This window comes from Homo sapiens, chromosome 2, assembly GCF_000001405.40.
Source record: "Homo sapiens chromosome 2, GRCh38.p14 Primary Assembly".
NCBI classification, from domain to species: Eukaryota; Metazoa; Chordata; class Mammalia; order Primates; family Hominidae; genus Homo; species Homo sapiens.
The window spans coordinates 217962191-217978409 of record NC_000002.12 but is presented as its reverse complement, the minus strand read 5'-3'; the positions used below and the strand labels follow the sequence as shown (position 1 = coordinate 217978409).

Genomic DNA, 16219 nt, shown 5'->3' with positions numbered 1-16219 from the left:
TCAATTACCCCGGGCCGCGCACAACCCCAGTTGGCTCAATTTGGCCAACCTAGAAAACCTCAGTGTCCACAGCCACAGGACCCCGAGGGCAGGAGAAGCGGGTGGGTGGGATAAATGGAGAATGAGGTCGGAGGTCAGGATTGGCTGGTCTGGAACCGCCTGAGAGACTGTCCCTTCCTCTTTATTGGCCAGGTCTTCTTTTGGTCCTCAATTTCCCCATGAGTATTTTCTGGCTGGTCTTGATGGGAAAGGGAAACTGAGGCAAGAAGACTGGAGGGATTGCTGGGCCCTGGTTGGCCAGGCTGGCTCAGCCCCTGATGTATCCACTGAGGTTTGGACACAGGAGTCATATATCAGCTTCTTGGAGTAACAGGGGGTGGGGGATTGGCACCAAGATGGATTATGAGTTTGGGAAGGAAATGGTTCTGTCCAATGGGCTCAGCTCTGCCTAGGGGTGGAAATGGCGTTCCTTGCCTTTCACTTGCAGCCAATGTCTGCACCTTCTGCCATTGTTGCTTGTAACCCTCCCTGCCCTTTCACTCCCTACGTTTGCTCTTCATATTTGACCTTTCAAGGAGTTCAGGGAGTAGAAGGAGAAGATGCTTCCAGAAGGAGCATTCATTGAGCAGTTGAGGACCTGTATCTGGTACATCTCATGTTTTGCTTCTTATTAGCTGGGTGGCCTTGGGCAAGTTATGTACCTCTCTGAGTTTCTGTTTCATTCTCAAGGATATGGGAATAAGAAGCCTACCTCATAAAGTTGTTGTGAGAATTCAATGAGGTAATGTATGTGAAGTGCCCAGCCCAGTGCCTGGCACAGGGTGGGTGCTCAAAAATGTCATGACTGATGCTCAGCTACTGGGAGCTTAGAGGGACAAGTGTTACCTTGGGGAAGGGGTGCTGACGGATCAAGCAGGTCTGGGAAGAATCTTCCTCCAAAGAAACTTTACTAAAGCCGAGCACACACCTTGCTGGAGGGCGTCTCCATCTGTAGACTCCAGCTTGGAATGCTCCCCTTGCAGAGATGCAGAGGGCCTGGCTTGCAGCAGGTACCTCCATGCAGTGGGTTTTCTGCCCCTTCCCTTGTCTTCTCCTTTCCTGCGGCCTCTCTCAGCCTTTCCTCCCCTGGATGGAGAGTACGTTTCTGCTTCTCCTTCCACCTCCCTCCTTGTTCTGTTTATCCAGAGCAGAGTTTTTTGCCTTAAACTCCAGAACTTTCCAGTTTTCTTGCTCCTCCCCAGTCTACCCCTTCGTACTGCCCTTCCTGCAACCTTTTCTTTTAATAGCAATGGACATTTGTACAGTGCTTTGGGTCTTAGACAGCATTTCACATGCATTATCAGACTTTGTTCTTTTAATTCCTTTAGAGCATAAAACATTGGCCAAAAGATTCTGTTGTTTTACAGATGAGGAAACTGAGGCGCCCCACGTTGAGTGACTTCCCCAAGGTGTCCCGGTGTAATTCTTCACCTGCTCTCTGTCCCTGGGCCTTTGTGCTTCCTTCTCCTTGTCTCTCACTGCCTACTGGCATGCATTTCTCCATCCTTGCCTGCCATTCTTCCTTTTGCTTTCCATCTCTTGACAGCAGCAGGATATATTTAGGAAGGATAAGGGGATAAACTTCCGGGCAGTGAAGGGTCTGATTGGGGGAGATGGGTGGCCCAGAGAGGCCCAGAAAGATATGACAGATGGCCCCTTGTCATGCAGTAGCCTTGTGCATGGGAACAGGCAAATGGCAAAGATGACTTTTTGGGGGCATAGCCTACCTGAGGAGTCTCTCACGTGTGCTGGGGGCTCAGAATGCACCAGGCTGCCGCAGTGCTGCTCTGCCCTGCCCAAGGAGGCCAACTAAGTGGGGGAGAGGGTAGACTGGCAGGGCAGCAACCAGGCAGACAGATGGGCTTTGTATAGGAGTTTCCTCTATAGGGAATGGGACCCACTGGTGGTGAGCGCTCCACCCAGCTGGTGGGTCTTTCTCTGAAACCAGAGCTCTTACTGCCGCCCTGCCTTTTCCTCCTGCTGGGAAGGGCAGCGGGAGCCACAGAGCCACAGCAGAGCTCTATACTGTGGATTTTATAGCCTCGTCAACCTTGAGGTCATCTTGTCCATCCCCTGCTTCTAGGCAGGATTCATTAGTAATCTCCTTCCACGGGCCAAATGCTGTTCTAAGTGAACAGATAGAGAAGGTCTTGGCCCTCATGGGTCTTGCAATCTAATAGGGGAGACAGGCACTAAATAGGCAAACAAGTTTTGAAGGGAATGAGCTGGAGCAATGGGTTAGAGAATTCTGCTAAGGTAGCCCAGAAAGACTCCTTGGAGGAAGAGTCATGTGAGGTGGGACCCAGATGATGATGTGGGGGAGGAGAAAGAGCAGGTGCAAAGGCCCTGAGGTGAGAGGAACTTGTTACGCTTGAAAGAGGGCTGGAGAGTAGTGAGTGCTGGGGAGTTTGGGCTGGAGGGACGCGATTGGATTTCCACTCTGAGAAGGCCACTCTGGCCTTGAGCAGGCACCAGGGTGGGAGTAGGGACATGGGCCAAGAGGCTGCTGATGTTGCCCACTCGAGAGAGCCTGGTGGCTTAGTCCATGGTGCTAGCCAGAAAAGCAGTGAGGAGGGGCTGGGTCTGGGATGCCTTCTGAGGGAGAGCTGGAGCCTCGCTGAGCCATCGGATTTTGGGTGTGAGAGCAGGAGTGGGCTTAAAGATGACTCCCAGATTTTGGCCAGAGTAATTGGGTGCACATGGTTTCACTTACTGAGATAGACGAGGTATGCGAGAAATTTCTAGGAAAGATGGCTCCAGGGTTTCAGCTTTGCTTGGTCTCCTTTTCACAGTCCCCCCATGCACTTGGGGTTTCTTGCTGATGTTGGTCCTCTCCTATTCAGCCTGCTGTAGTCACTCCTCTGGTAAGTGGCTGGTTCCTAATGCCTTCACACGCCACCCTCACTGTTCCTGCAGCACGAAGCGATAGTTCTGACAGGGGCTGTGTTATGTATACAGAGTGATATGGTGTAATAAATGGCCCCCAGATTTAGTAGCTTAAAATAGCTTCAAACACTTATTATCTCATAATAATAAATGTTTTGGGGGGTCAGGATGTTGGGGGTGGCTTAGCTGACTGGTTCTGGCTAGGGGTCTCTCATGGGGTTGCAGCTGAGATGTTGGCTGGGGCTGCAGTCTTCTCAAGGCCTGACTGGGGCTGGAGGATCATTTTCCAAGGTGGTTCTGTCATGTGGCTATCAAGTTGGGGTTGGCTGTTGCCAGGTAGCCTCAGTTTCTCACCACACGGACCTCTCCATAGGGCTGCTTGAGTGTCCTTACAACATGGTGGCTGGTTTCCCAAGAGTGAATGAATGATTCAAGAGAGAGCAAGGCAGAACCCACAATGTCTTTTATACACTATCCTTGGAAGACACACTGTTATTTCTACAATATCCTATTGGTTACATAGGTCAGCCTTATTCAGTGTGGAAAGAATCTACATAAGGGCTTGAATACCATGAGGCAAGAATCAGTGGGGGCCATCTTGGAGGGTGACACTACAGATGCCCAGAGACAGGGCAATGCTGACCTGGCAGCTAGGAGGCCGTGGGTGTGTTGGGAAGGGCAGGGTACGGGAATCAGACATACTTGGGTTTGAACTCTACCCCTGCTGCCTTCTAGATATGTAAGCTGGGTTGCAGAGGATTAAATGCACATTGGCATATAGTAGGCACCTTTCTCCTTTCTTGGAACGATAGTCAAAGCCTGGAAAGGATCCCAGATATTCTGTGCCCAGCTCTCTGCCACTTGGACGTGCTTGAGAGAAAATGTTCCTGCTGGTAGAGGTAGAGCCTCGGTGCCGGCTCATAGTCAATGTTATCTATGTGTTGATTGCCCATCGGAAGGTTGAGAGCTAGGTTCCACCCCAGCTTCCCGAATAGTACCTAGTCCATAGTAGGAGTGCCTATAAAGGGATAAAAGGATAGAATAAAGGAATTTTGAGAAACAAGTCTTCCTTTCTGGGGAGAGGCTGAGGGGATGGAGGAAAGCAGGAAAGAAGTAGCAGCAAAATCACTTTAAATACCCCTCCCAAAAACCTTCCTATCTTCTGACACAGAGGGTGCTGCAAATAATAATTCTAATCATATTCCTTTTTCTAATTGGGGTATAATTCACACTCTCAATTATACAAAACTCAAACGTACATCCTGATAGATTTGTACATACATGAGAACCAGATCATGATCTAGAACATTCCCAGCACCCAAAAAGCAACCCTTATGTTCCTTCAAGTCAATATACCCCAAAGGTAATTGCTATCTTTATCTGTATCATCAGAGATTAGTTTTGCCTGTTCTTGAATGTTCATCGAAATGGAATCACACAGTATGTTTGCTTTTGTATCCGGCGTATTTCACTCAGCATTATGTCTGGGAGGCTCATCGTGTTCTTGCGGATTGCAGGAGCTCATTCTTTTTAATTGCTATGTTGTATTCCATTACGTGAAGAAACCACAATGTATTTATCCATTCCACTGTTGATTGCCATTTGGGTTCTTTCCCGTTTGGGACTGTTAGGAGCAGACCTGCTATGAACCCTTAGTCACCTCTGTCTACACAGAACTTTGTAATCTACAACATGTTTTCCCTCGTCTTTGCAGTTCTGTGAGGTGGGCAGGGCTCACGGTGGCCCCATTGTACAGATCCAACATCCAGGCCCCATGACGGTGCCCAACTTGGCTAATGGCACCTTGGCATAGGGGCCTTCGATGTGATTCTGGTCTGCTCTGGGTTAAATGGGCAGGGAGCAGGTGAGGAGAGAGAACAAGCGTGAAAGCATCAGACACTGGAGAGAGGGGCCTGGGTCAGAGCCAGGAATCTTACTGTAGTTCATGGAAACCCCATTCTACATCTCCTGAAGGAAGCAAATTCCCAGTCTCCTTAATTCCCACCCTTACCCCTCATTGGGGTCCTTATCTGTCCCCAGTTGTTTCTCTCCTGTTGAGGATTTAAAATGAATGGCCCAGGACTTGTCTTCCAATTTTTTTTTTTTTTTTTTTTTTTCAGAGACAGGATCTCACTCTGTTGCCCAGGGCAGAGTGCAGTGGTGTGGTCACGATTCACTGCAGCCTCAGTTTCATGGGCTCAAGCCATCCTCAATCCTCCCACCTCAGCCTTCCGAGTCCGAGCTGGGACTGCAGTGTGCGCCACCACACCTGGCTAATTTTCTTTTTACTTTTTGTAGAGACAGGGTCTCGCCATGTTGCTCAGGCTGGTCTTGAACTCCTGGGCTCAAGTGATCTGGCCGCCTTGACTTCCCAAAGTGCTGAGATTACAGGCATGAGCCACCACACCCTGCCTGCCTTCCACTTTTATGTTAGCACATGTGCTGTGTGTATACAGCAGCTTTTCTTCCTTTTTGCTTTTCTCTTCTGTCCCCTGCTATATGACTCCATAACTTTCAAATAACTTTTATTTATGTATTTATTATTTTAAGTAAAACTTTTAATTTTAGAATAGTCTTAGGTTTACAGAAAAGTTGCAAAGGATAGTACAGAAAGTTCCTGTGTGGCAAGCACCCAGTTTCCCCTAGCCCCTGGATACATTTTGAAAAATGCTTTCCTCCCTGCTGATCCTCACTCCTTGTTTTGAAATAGCAGTTTCAGTTGACAACAGCAGCCTGTTCCAGCCAAATACTCTTTGTCTGCTGCAGGTCAGACAAGAGTTCAGTGAAAGGACCAGGCAGCTGCTGGGCAGGCAGATGGCCCAGGCTTCAGCCTCTTGGGTGGCTCTTTCTTATCCACTGGCTTCCTTCCTTAGCTCTCTGTTACCTCTTTCCAGTCCCAAGTACCAACTGAGGCGGAGGGAGGAGGCTGCAGCAACAGCTTGGTCTCCTCCCCTGTACCAAAAGGGCTTAAATCTCATCCTTTAAGCTTGAAAGGAAAGGAAATCCCATAATTAACCCCCACCTTTCAGTCTCATTGCAGATTACCTTTCCTGCTAGTCTTGTAAACACACCTGCAGCCTTCTTTTACAGTTGGGTTGGAGGCTTGTATTCTCCTGCTACCAGAAATACCTGAGTGGGAGGAGGTTCATGGCCCCAGGACCATCGATGGCTCTGAGCCTAGTGGAGTGTTTAAGCTCTTGGACTTTGGAGACAGACTTAAGTTTAAATCCCTGCTGCATCAATAACTGGCTGTGTGATCTTGGGCAAGTTACTGAACCTCTCTGAGCCCCAGCTTCTTCATCTGTAACATGGTGATTCTAGTAGTACTTATCTTGTAGAGCTCTTGTGAGGGCTGGGAATGGTAACCCTACTAAAATGCTAAGCTCAAAACTCAGTTGTTAAAAAGTTGCTAATATGTACTTATTATTTTGTATTCTTCTGGCCTTCTCCTACTTCCTGTAAGGTGGAGAGAATCTGAGAGATCAACAAAGCTTTCTGAGGGCAGTGGTGTGAAGACTGGATAGACACTGCTTTTGTTTTTCCTTCTTTTCTCTCTCTCTATTATCAAGGAAGAGTGAGGAAATTCTATAGGCAAATATGATATGTCTTTCGCTTGTTTGCCTGCTGAATGGCCCCTGAGATCTCTAGCAGTGGTTTGAAGTCTTGTCTGCACATTAGAATCACCTTGGTGCTTTAAGAAAACCGATGTCTGTATTCTACTCCCTGGAGGTTCTGATTTAATTAGTTTTGGCTACGACCTGACCTGGGCATTGGGATTTTTAAAAGTGGTAACCAGTGGTGGGAATGTAAAATGGTACAGCTGCTCTAGAAACAGTTTGGCCATTTCTTATAAAATCCAACATACACTTGCTGTATGACCCAGAAATTCCACTCCAAGATATTTATCCGAGAGAAGTAAACACATGTCTGTAAAAAGACGACTTGTTCACAAATATTCATAGCAGCTTTATTTCCAATAGCCCCAAACTGGAACGAACCTTTATATTCAATGACAGGTAAATGGATAAAGAAATTGCAATGTCATAGTACAGTGGGATACTACACTGCAATAAAAAGGAATGATCTATGCGCAACAGTGTGGATGAACCTCTAAAACGTCATGCTGAGTGAAAGAAGCCAGACACAAAAAGGGCACATACTGGGTGATTCCCTTTTAATGCAATTTGGAAAAGACAAATCGCTAGTGACAGAGCAGATTAGTAGTTACCTGGAGTTGGGAGTGGTGGGGAGATTGGCTGCAAAGGTGTGTGAAGGAACTTCCTTGGGGGATGGAATTGTTCTCTATCTGGATTGTGGTAATTATGCATGCACCTGTCAAAACCCGTTGAACTCTATTCCTAAAAGGGATGCATTTTGTTGTATGTAAATTATATCTTAATAAAATTTATTTTAATAACATTTCCCATGTGCACTTCCTTTGCAGCCACATTTGAGAACCATTGGTCTATGGCTTCTGGAGACCAAGCTCTGTCTTCTTGGCCAGTGCTAGCACAATCCCATGTATTTAATAGCGCTTCCTGGGGTTGAGGGCTTTCTTTCCTGGTTTTTTTTTTTAACAACTTTATTGAGGTATAACTAATTCACATACCACACAATACGCCCATTTAAAGTGTACAATTCAATGATTTTTTTTGTATCATCACAGAGTTGTGTGACTGTCACCACAGTCAATTTTAGAAGATTTTCAGCAGCTCGGAAAGAAACCCTGTACCCTTTAGCTTGAACCCCTAATCCCTCTATCTCTCCCCGACCTCACCCCAGCAATCAGTAGCCACTAATCTTCCCGTCTCTATATATTTGCCGATTCTGATGGTTTCATAGCTGTGGTCTTCAAGACTGGCTTCTTTTTCTTTGCATAATATTTTCAAGGTACATCTATGCTGTAGCTCCCTTTTTATGGTTGAGTAATATTCCATTATATGAGTGTAGCCCATGTTGTTTTTCCATTCATCAGTTGGTGGACATTTGGGTTGTTTCACTTTTTGGTTATTATGACTAATGTTGCCATGAGGATTCATGTACAAGTTTTTGTGTGGACATCTGTTTTCATTTCTCTTGGGTGTGTGTAGTTGGGAGTGGAATTGTGGAGTCATAGGGTAACTCTATGTTTAATGTTTTGAGGAGCTGCTCAGCTGTTTTACACAATAGCTTATATTGGTTTTCTAGGGCTGTCCTAAAAAAGTATCACAAACTAGGTGACTTAAAACAACAGAAATGTATTGTCTCACAGTTCTGGAGGCTAGAAGTCAAAAATCAAGGTGTTGGCAGGCCTGTGCTCCCTCTGAAACCTGCAGGGGCCCTTCCTTGCCTCTTTCCAGCTTCTGGAGGTTTCCAGCGATCTTTGGTGTTCCTTGGCTTGTAGGTGCATCACCCATCCTCTGTCTTCACGTGGTGGCCTACCTGTGTCCTCACATCATCTTCCTTCTGTGTCTATGTGTCTCTGTGTACAAATTTTTTTTTTTTATCAGGAACTGTCATAGATGGTTAAGGCCCATCCTCATGACCCCATTTTAGAGCTTGATTACATCTGTAACGACCCTACTTTCAAAAAGGTGCTGGGGGTTAGGACTTCAGCACATCTTTTGTGAGGGACATAATTCAACCCATAACATAGCTGTGCCATTTTACATTCTTGCTAGCAATATGTGAAGTTTCCAATTTTTCCACATCCTTGTCAACACTTGTTATTATCTGACTTTTTGATTGTAGCCATTCTAGTGGATGTCAAGTGGTATCTCATCATGGTTTTGATTTGATTTCCCTGATGAGTAATGATGTTGAGTGTCTTTTCATGTGTTTATTGATTATTTGTGTATCTTTTTTGGAGAAATGTTTATTGACATTGTTCATTTAAAAAATTGGGTTATTTGTCTTTTATTATTGAGTTGTAAAAGTTCTTTATACGTTCAGGATACAAATTCCTTATCAAATATAGATCTGAATTTTTTTTTTCTATTCTCTGGTTGTCTTAAAAGCCAGTTTTGAATTTAGTTGAAGTCTAGTTTATTTTTTCTTTAGTGGCTTGTGCTTTTGCTTTCATATCTAAGAATTTATTGCCAAATCCAAGGTCACAAAGATTTACCCCTGTTTTCTTCTGAGAGTTTACAGTTTTGGCTCTTATATTTAGGTCTTTTATCCATTTTGAGTTAATTTTTATATATGATGTGAAGTAAGGTAAATGCTGTTTTGCATGTGGTTATCCATTTGTTCCAGCACTATTTGGTGAAAAGATCATTCTTTCCCCACTGAATGATCTTGGCATCATTAGTATTAAGTTTCAAAATTGGGAAGTGTGAATTCTCTGACTTTATTCTTTTTCAAGGTTGTCTTGGCTATTCTGTGTCCCTTAAATAAATTTTAGGATCAGCCTGTCAATTTCTACAAATAAGCCAGTTGGAATTCTGATAGGGTTTGCATTGACTCTGTGGGCCAACTGGGGGAGTATTGCCATCTTAACAATTTTGAGGCTGGGAGTGGTGACTCATGCCTGTAATCCCAGCACTTTGGGAGGCCGAGGTGGGTGGATCACTTGAGGTGGGTAAGGAGTTCGAGACCAGCCTGACCAACATGGTGAAACCCCATCTCTACTAAAAATACAAAAATTAGCCAGGCATGGTGGTGCACAGCTGTAAACCCAGCTACTCGGGAGGCTGACGTAGGAAGATCTCTTGAACCCGGGAGGCGGAGGTTGTATTGAGCTGAGATTGCTCCACTGCACTCCAGCCTGGGTGACAGAGTGAGACTTTGATCAAAACAGGAAACAAAAAACACCAAAAAACAATTTTGAGTTTTCTGATTCATGAGCATGAGATATGTTTATATTTATTTATATCTTCTTTAATTTATTTCAACAATATTTTGTAATTTTAAGAGTATATATTTTTTACTTCTTTTGTGAAGTTTTTCTTCAGTATTTTGTTCTTTTTGATGCTGTTTTAAATGGAGTTGTTCTTAATTTCATTTTTAGGTCTTTCATTGTCAGTATATGAAAATATAATTGATTTTGTGTAGTGATGATTTATCTTACAATCATCAGTATTTATTAATTCTAATAGTATTTAAGGGGTTCCTTAGGATTTTCTACATACAAGATGATGTCCTCTGTGAATATAGTTTTAGTTTTTCCTTTCCAACCAGGATGCTTTTTATTTCATTTTTTGCCTAATTGTCCTGACTGGAAACTTCAATACAATGTTACTAGATGTGGCAAGAGCAGAAATTGTTGTCTAGTTCCCGAACTTAGGAGGAAACTATCCAATATTTCACCACTAAGCATGATATTAGCTGTGGATTTTTCACAGATGCCCTTCATCAGGTTGAGGAAGTTTCCTTCTATTCCTAGTTTGTTGAATGTTTTTGAAATCATGAAATGGTGTTGGATTTTGTCAAATTCTTTTAATGATGATCATGTAGTTTTTGTTTTTTTAGTCTATTGATACAGTATAATACATCAATTGATTTTCAGTTGTTAAAACCACCTTTCATTCCTGGGATAAGTCCCATTTGGTCATGGTGTATAATTCTCTTTCTTAAATGTTTCTGGATTCACTTTGCTAGCATTTTCTTGAGGATTTTTACATCTATATTCGAAAGAGATATTGGACGGTAGTTTTCTTTTTCCTTTGATATCTTTGGTTTTGGCCTCATAGAATGATTTGAGAGGTGTTTGTTTGTCTTCTATGTTTTGGAAGAATTTGTAAAGAATTGATATTGATTCTTCTTTAAAAGTTTGTGGAGAACATTTAAACCTGTGAAGCCATCGGGACCTGGGCTTTTCTTTGCGTGTAGTTTTTTGATTGCCAGTTCAATTTCTTTATTTATTATAGGTCTATTCAGATTTCTAATTTCTTCTTGAGTCAGTTTTGGTAGTTTATGCCTTTCTAGGAATTTGTCTATTTTATCTTAGCTATCTGATTTATTCATGGTATTTCTTCATAATTCTTTTTATTTCTGAAAGGTTGGTAGTAATGTCCCCTCTTTCACTTGTGATTTGAGTAATTTGAGTCTTCTTTCTTTGAATCTTAATCAATCTAGCTGAAGTTTTGCCAATTTTGTTGATCTTTTCAAAGAATTTACCTTTTCCTTACTTTTGCTTATAGCCACTGTTTATTTTTTATTTTTATTTATTTATTTATTTATTTTTGAGACCGAGTCTCGCTCTGTCACCCAGGCTGGAGTGCAGTGGCTTGATCTCGGCTCACTGCAAGCTCCGCCTCCTGGGTTCATGCCATTCTCCTGTCTCAGCCTCCCAAGTAGCTGGGACTACAGGTGCCTGCCACCAAGCCTGGCTAATTTTTTTTGTATTTTTAGTAGAGATGGGGTTTCACCGTGTTAGCCAGGATGATCTCGATCTCCTGACCTCGTGATCCGCCCACCTCAGCCTCCCAAAGTGCTGGGATTACAGGCGTGAGCCACCGCACCCGGCCTATAGACACTGTTTATTAAGTATCCCCTGCATGGTGACTACGTGACACTCTTCTCATTTAATCCTTGAAATACCACATATAAAGCAGATGTGATTGTTCACACTGTCAGATGAGCCATTGAAGGGAAAGTCTTAACACCAGTTATGCAACCAGCAGGCAGTGATGTGGGCTTCCTGCTCGGGTCTGAGAGTCTGGCTCTAATGTCTGATGGATTTCAGTACAGCAAGGGACCTTTCGTGTTCCACACTCAGCCTCTACTCCCCACAGCTGTGACTTCATGATTTTCTGACTTTATCATTGCTTAGGGGAGAGCAATGGGTCAGTGTTCCCTTGTGCTGTTCAGTGAGCCTCAGCATCGCTTGGTGAGCCTGTTCAGCATACTCCTGCCCTGTCAAGTTTGACTCAGTGCATCTGGGGTTAGACTTAGGGATCTGCATTATTTTCCAACATCTGATGCTGGGTCCCTGGCAGCGCTTGTGGAGCCCGTGTTTGCCCTGGGAAATGCCTCTTCAACTTAACTGGATGCAGGCCCTGGGGAAGTTACTGCTTCCCCTGGTGTCTGTTCTTCTGGCTTCAGCTTCGCTGGGGATGGATTCAAGGATGAGGTAGGTTTTGGGGGAGAAGCTACTTTCTCTTGCTTTATAACAATTTTGCAAGAAGCTTTAACTTCCCCTGACATCTTTGAGTCTCTCTCTCTCTTGCTGTCTCCTTACACACGCGCGCGCGCGCACACACACACACACACACACACACACACACACACACACACGCAGCCTGCTCCCCATAGCAGGGAGGGGCAAGGCTGGGGGTGAAGAGACACTGAGCTGTGACTGGCTTCTCATTTTCCTGGAATGTGGCTCCCCAAAGGTCTCATATTTTTCAGCGTTTCTGACGCTGCGGCTGTGTAAACATCACACAAGGGTTTGCTGCATCTGAGAGACCAGAGGAGTTAGAGAGAGGGGGAGGGTAGGAGCCCAGAGCAGAGAGAAGGGCAAATGGGAGATGGAGAATGGAGAGAGAGAGAGAGGAGAGGAAAGTCCTGGGGTCCTGGTGGAACAGGATGCTGGATGAAGCACGCTAGAGGGAACAAAGACCAGTGGAGTCCCACTGAGCAGGTGAGGGATCTAGGAGGGCGGGGTTTGTGGTGTGGTACCAGGGGAGGGCAGAAGGTCCAGTTCAGGTTAGGAGCTCTATCGGTGAGGTGGGAGGAGACCCCTGGTCCACACCAGCCACCCTGGCTGCTTCTGGCTTCTAGCTCGGGGGGTCTGTGGTGCCCGTTGAGCTGGCTAAGCAGGGAGAGCAAGGCCTTTGCTGGTGGACGGCCGCCTCCCGGGGTGTGGTGAGCCTGGCAGTGGTGAGTAGCAGCTCCTTGCCTCCTGGGGCTCCACCTTGGCTGAGAGAACCTGCTGGTGTGGAGGGAGGCCCAGGATGCCTTATGAGAACCTAGCATTCTCTGCTGCTGGGCTCTGCCTGGAGGCTCAGACTCAGTTGTAGTTCTCTGAGCCTCCCAAGCCACTGACCTAGAACTACCCACTTCCTGAGCCTGGACAGCAGGAGAGGTGGCCTGGTGCATGCAGTTGGAGTCCCTGTGGCCTCCGGCTTAGGAGGCTCTTGACTCTGCTATTTACATGAACCTTGTTGTATCAGGCAAGTCACTCCCACTCTGAAATCAGGTTTCCTCAGCTGTATAAAAATGGTGACATTGATATCTTGCTGATATCATGCTGACCTTGCAAGGTTGGTGGGAGGATTAGAGAGAATGTAGGTAAAATCCTGGCATGTGATAGGCTTTTGCTCAATAGATAACTCTTGTTCTATTCTTCTGAGATCCTAGGATAATAAAGAGCTAAGTGCCCCAGAAATAACAAACAGCTAAGTGCCCCAGAAATCCACCAGCCAGCAGGCCAGGGCAGCTCCACTGAATGACTGTGGTTCGCGTTCCCTTAACCTGTTCCAATGGATTCCTCTGCCTGCAGCCACCTGCTGGCCCTGTGTATTCCCCTCCCCTGCAGTTGTTTATCTCTGCTCCGCCCTGCCAAGGATCTTTGACACCCCTGCTCCCTCTCTCTGGGGGTTCTGGCTCCTGGCTGATGAGTGACTTGGCCAATGCCCCTTGCAGCGGGCAGGTGGGTGGGATGTTAGCGGGGGGCCGTTAGGAGGAGAGGGGTGTATGTGTCTTGGGGCACAGCAGAACACAGAGCGAGTCACAGATTAACCCCCTGGCCTGTTTCCTCTGGCGCGGCCCGGCGCACCCAAGCGAGGGTGTCCAGGGGTGTCTGGGTTCAGACTAGGTCCTGTTCAAGGAAGCAGGGGAGGAAGGTCACTCGTGGGTCACATGTGGTTGGAGGAGCAGCAGGAAAGCCCTGGAGCCCTCGTCTGCATACAGAACTCACACTGGCTTGAATTCCACATCAGCGCGCAGCTTCCAAAACTCCTATATCCTAGCACACACAGGATCTATTTAATCTAATCCTCACAGCAACACTACAAGATAGGTATTAATATAATCGCTAGGGCACAGAGGAGGAAACGCCTCAGATGATTGAGCAGTGCGCTCACACAGCCGGTAAGGTGGTGGAACCAGGACCGGGGACTTGAGCCCAGGCTTAGGGAGAGGCCTGGGGAGAGAATCTGAGCTGAGTGCCAAGTCTGACTTTTCTTCTTCAACACTCACTATCTCTGACACTGGACAAGTTGCACAGCCTCTTTGTGACTTGAGTTCTTGATCTGTAATAGTCATAAACATAGATCTTGCTTCATAAGATGATTGTAAGAATTAAATGCATTAATGCCTACAAAGTGCTTAGAGCAATAGATAAATGCTAGCAATTATGATCAGCACCCCTCTGTGAATAAAGTCTGAGGACAGAGGCTGCAGTTGGGTTGGGTGGAGGAAGTGAGTGTAAACTGGCTTGTCATGTTTTGCTTTACTGAGGCCTCCCGAACCTCCAGGGAAGACAATTTGAATGTTCTCCACTGGACCAGCCGTCTTGTGAGGAGGTGAGCTCTCAGTAGCTGTCTTACGTTGTGGGGAGGAAGGTTGGACTGGAAACAGTCAAAGTCTCTTGTTTTAAGATTTGGGGCCTGGGGAGTCAGAGCTGATTTTTAAGAAATTTTACCACACCCGACTAATTTTTTTTTTTTTTTTGTATTTTTAGTAGAGATGGGGTTTCACCATGTTGCCCAGGCTGGTCTCAAACTCCTGAGCTCAGGCAATCTTCCCACTTAGGCCTTCCAAAGTGCTAGGATTAGAGGTGTGAGTCACTGAGCCTGGCCTTTTTTTTTTTTTTTTCGGTAAATGTACATATTTTCATGGCTCACGTGATGAGTTAATACAGTCATATAATTTGTAAAGATCAAATCAGTGTAATTGGGATATCCATCAACTTAAATATTTATCTTTTCTTCATGCTAGAAACACTGGAATTATTCTTATCTAGCTATTTGGAAATATACATTAGAGCCGATTTGTTTCCTGCCTCCCCTGCTTATAGCTGAGTAGCCTTGGGCCATTTTCTCAAGTGCGCAGGTTCTCAGCTTCCTGGTCCATAAGCTGGGGTCATGAGTCCTGCCTGCAGTCTTGTGGTGAGGATTAGATGAGCTAGGTATGGAGAGTGCTTTTACGCTCCCGGTGCATGATAGCCAGTGACCTGTGATGGCTGTGGTGTGGTGGCGGTGGCATGGTTATTGTCATTAGATGCAGTCTGGCTCTCTCCAGGTGATGACCCCGTGCCGGAGCACCTGTGCCAATTATCCCTGGGCCAGTTCTGTTTTCCGTGTTCCCTGGGTGGTCTGCATTCTTCCTCCTCTGCCCTCTTAGTCTGAGCATCCCTTGTCTGATTCCTGGAGGTATCTCGGGACCTCTCAGGTTGAACTCCTCTCCCCTTCCAAGGACTTAATTCTTGAACTATCCTCTGACCCTCATCTGACCCTAATCTGTGCCTTCCTTAGAACCCAAGTTTTTGTTTTGTTACTTTGTATTCTGAGATGATTAAACTTACACAAAATTTGCAAAAATAGTACAGAGTTTCCTTATATCCTTCACCCAACTCCCCCTAATGCTGACATCTTACATAACCATGCACGGTTATCAAAACCAGGACATTCACATTGATCTGACGTTAATCTGAGGATTGTAGTAGAATTTGGCCAGTGTTCCCACCACTGCCCTTTTTCTGATCTAGGATCCAATCCAGGATCCCACATTGCATGTGGTCATCGTGTCTCCTGAGTCTTCTCCTATCTGGGACAGTTCTTCTGTCTTTCTTTGTTGCTGATGAGTTTGGCACTTTTGGAGAGTGCTGGTTAGTTATTTTGAAGAATGTCCCTCAATTTGGGTGTGTTTGATTTTCTCTTTCCATCATTCTTTCTACATTTATTAACTGGAATTCTACTGTAAAGAATGGTGCCTTATCCCCATTTTACTGATTTATTCCATTATTTATTTGTCAGTATGGACACCCTGACATTCACTTTATGGATCATAAACTCATATGGTCATTTTTTTTTCTTGAATCCAATTGATCTAGCCATGGCCAATGGGAGCTCCTTGTGTTGGTAGGACCCATGGTTCTTAACTTTTTGTTTTCTTTTTGAGATGGAGTTTCGCTCCTGTTGCCCAGGCTGGAGTGCAATGGCATGATCTCGGCTCACTGCAACCTCCGCCTCCTGGGTTCAAGCAATTCTCCTGCCTCAGCCTCCCAAGTAGCTGGGATTACAGGCATGCGCCACCACGCCCAGCTAATTTTGTATTTTTAGTAGAGATGGGGTTTCTCCATGTTGGTCAGGCTGCTCTTGAGCTCCCGACCTCAGGTGATCCACCCGCCTCGGCATCCCAAAGCGCTGGG

The 16219-nt window shown here is 45.5% G+C and overlaps 1 protein-coding gene across 14 annotated transcripts in view, besides 2 other annotated features; it reads left to right on the top strand.

Annotated features, from left to right (window-relative positions):
- TNS1 (tensin 1) overlaps positions 1 to 16219 on the top strand; it is a 234192-nt gene that overhangs the window by 55573 nt on the left and 162400 nt on the right. The gene's annotated exons all lie outside the window — the stretch shown is intronic.
- Positions 13075 to 13611: an enhancer, noted in NCBI's record as "H3K4me1 hESC enhancer chr2:218829522-218830058 (GRCh37/hg19 assembly coordinates)". NCBI's record gives its function as "activates a minimal SCP1, AML or CMV promoter by ChIP-STARR-seq in naive H9 embryonic stem cells {active_cell/tissue: H9 hESC(naive)}" and the evidence as "EXISTENCE:reporter gene assay evidence [ECO:0000049][PMID:30033119]".
- Positions 13612 to 14149: an enhancer, noted in NCBI's record as "H3K4me1 hESC enhancer chr2:218828984-218829521 (GRCh37/hg19 assembly coordinates)". NCBI's record gives its function as "activates a minimal SCP1, AML or CMV promoter by ChIP-STARR-seq in naive H9 embryonic stem cells {active_cell/tissue: H9 hESC(naive)}" and the evidence as "EXISTENCE:reporter gene assay evidence [ECO:0000049][PMID:30033119]".